General features: G+C 45.4%; 1 annotated feature.

Annotated features, from left to right (window-relative positions):
* Positions 1,221-1,780: an enhancer, noted in NCBI's record as "OCT4-NANOG-H3K27ac-H3K4me1 hESC enhancer chr16:55633008-55633567 (GRCh37/hg19 assembly coordinates)". NCBI's record gives its function as "activates a minimal SCP1, AML or CMV promoter by ChIP-STARR-seq in naive H9 embryonic stem cells {active_cell/tissue: H9 hESC(naive)}" and the evidence as "EXISTENCE:reporter gene assay evidence [ECO:0000049][PMID:30033119]".

The raw sequence follows: 2,046 nt of genomic DNA on the forward strand, positions 1-2,046 counted from the left end.
ATTTTCAAACTCTGCATCTGACAAAGGTCTAATATCCAGAATCTATAAGAATCTTAAATTTACAAGAAAAAATAAAAAAACTCTATTAAAAATGGCAAAGAAGATGAATAGACACTTTTCAAAAAAAGACATACACACAGCCAACAAGCATATGAAAAAATGTTCAACATCGCAAATCATTAGAGAAATGCAAATAAAAACCACGGTGAGATACCATCTCATACCAGTCAGAATGGCTATTAATAAAGTCAAAAAGTAACAGATGTTGTCAAGGCTGCAGAGAAAAGGGAATGCGTATACACTGCTAGTGGAAACGTAAATTAGTTCAGCCACTGTGGAAAGCAATTTAGTGATTTCTCAAAGAATTTAAAACAGAACTACCATTTGACCCAGCAATTTCATTATTGGGTATGTACCCAAAGGAATATAAATTGTTCTGCCATAAACACACATGTGCATGTATGTTCACTTCAGCACTATTCACAATAGCAAAGAAAAGGAATCAACCTAAATTGATTATCCAGTAGACTGCATAAAGAAAATGTGGTGTATATACACCATGGAATACTATGCAGCCATAGGAAGGAGCAAAATAACATCCTTTCCAGCAACATGGATGGAGCTGGAGGTCATTATCCTAGCGAACTAATGCAGAAGCAGAAAACCAAATACCACATGTTCCCATTTATAAGTGGGAGCTAAACACTGAGTACACATGGGCACAAAGAAAGGAACAATAGATACTGGGGCCTACTTGGGCATGGAGTGTGGTAGGAAGGTAAGAATTAAAAAAAAACTGCCTTTTGGATACTATGCTTATTACCTCGGTGATGAAATGGTATAGGGACCAAACCCCTGTGACACGCAATTTATCTATAGATGTACTCTGAAACTAAAATAAATGTTAAAAAAAAGGAAAAGAGGGGGAGGAGCCAAGATGGCCGAATAGGAACAGCTCCGGTCTACAGCTCCCAGCATGAGCGACGCAGAAGACGGGTCATTTCTGCATTTCCATCTGAGGTACCAGGTTCATCTCACTAGGGAGTGCCAGACAGTGGGCGCAGGTCAGTGGGTGCGCGCACCGTGCGTGAGCTGAAGCAGGGTGAGGCATTGCCTCACTCGGGAAGCGCAGAGGGTCAGAGAGTTCCCTTTCCTAGTCAAAGAAAGGGGTGACAGACGGCACCTCCCACCCGAATACTGCGCTTTTCCAACGGGCTTAAAAAACGGCGCACCAGGAGATTGTGTCCTGCACCTGGCTCGGAGGGTCCTACGCCCACAGAGTCTTGCTGATTGCTAGCACAGCAGTCTGAGATCAAACTGCAAGGTGGCAGCAAGGCTGGGGGAGGGGCGCCCGCCATTGCCCAGGCTTGCTTAGGTAAACAAAGCAGCCGGGAAGCTTGAACTGGGTGGAGCCCACCACAGCTCAAGGAGGCCTGCCTGCCTCTGTAGGCTCCACCTCTGAGGGCAGGGCACAGACAAACAAAAAGACAGCAGTAACCTCTGCAGACTTAAGTGTCCCTGTCTGACAGCTTTGAAGAGAGCAGTGGTTCTCCCAGTACGCAGCTGGAGATCTGAGAAGGGGCAGACTGCCTCCTCAAGTGGGTGCCTGACCCCTGACCCCTGAGCAGCCTAACTGGGAGGCACCCCCGAACAGGGGCACACTGACACCTCACACGGCAGGGTACTCCAACAGAGCTGCAGCTGAGGGTCCTGTCTGTTAGAAGGAAAACTAACAAACAGAAAGGACATCCACACCAAAAACCCATCTGTACATCACCATCATCAAAGACCAAAAGTAGATAAAACCACAAGGATGGGGAAAAAACAGAACAGAAAAACTGGAAACTCTAAAAAGCAGAGCGCCTCTCCTCCTCCAAAGGAACGCAGTTCCTCACCAGCAACGGAACAAAGCTGGACAGAGAATAACTTTGACGAGCTGAGAGAAGAAGGCTTCAGATGATCAAATTACTCTGAGCTACAGGAGGACATTCAAACCAAAGGCAAAGAAGTTGAAAACTTTGAAAAAAATTTAGAAGAATGTATAAC

The sequence above is a fragment of the Homo sapiens genome, chromosome 16 (assembly GCF_000001405.40).
Source record: "Homo sapiens chromosome 16, GRCh38.p14 Primary Assembly".
Lineage (NCBI taxonomy): Eukaryota > Metazoa > Chordata > Mammalia > Primates > Hominidae > Homo > Homo sapiens.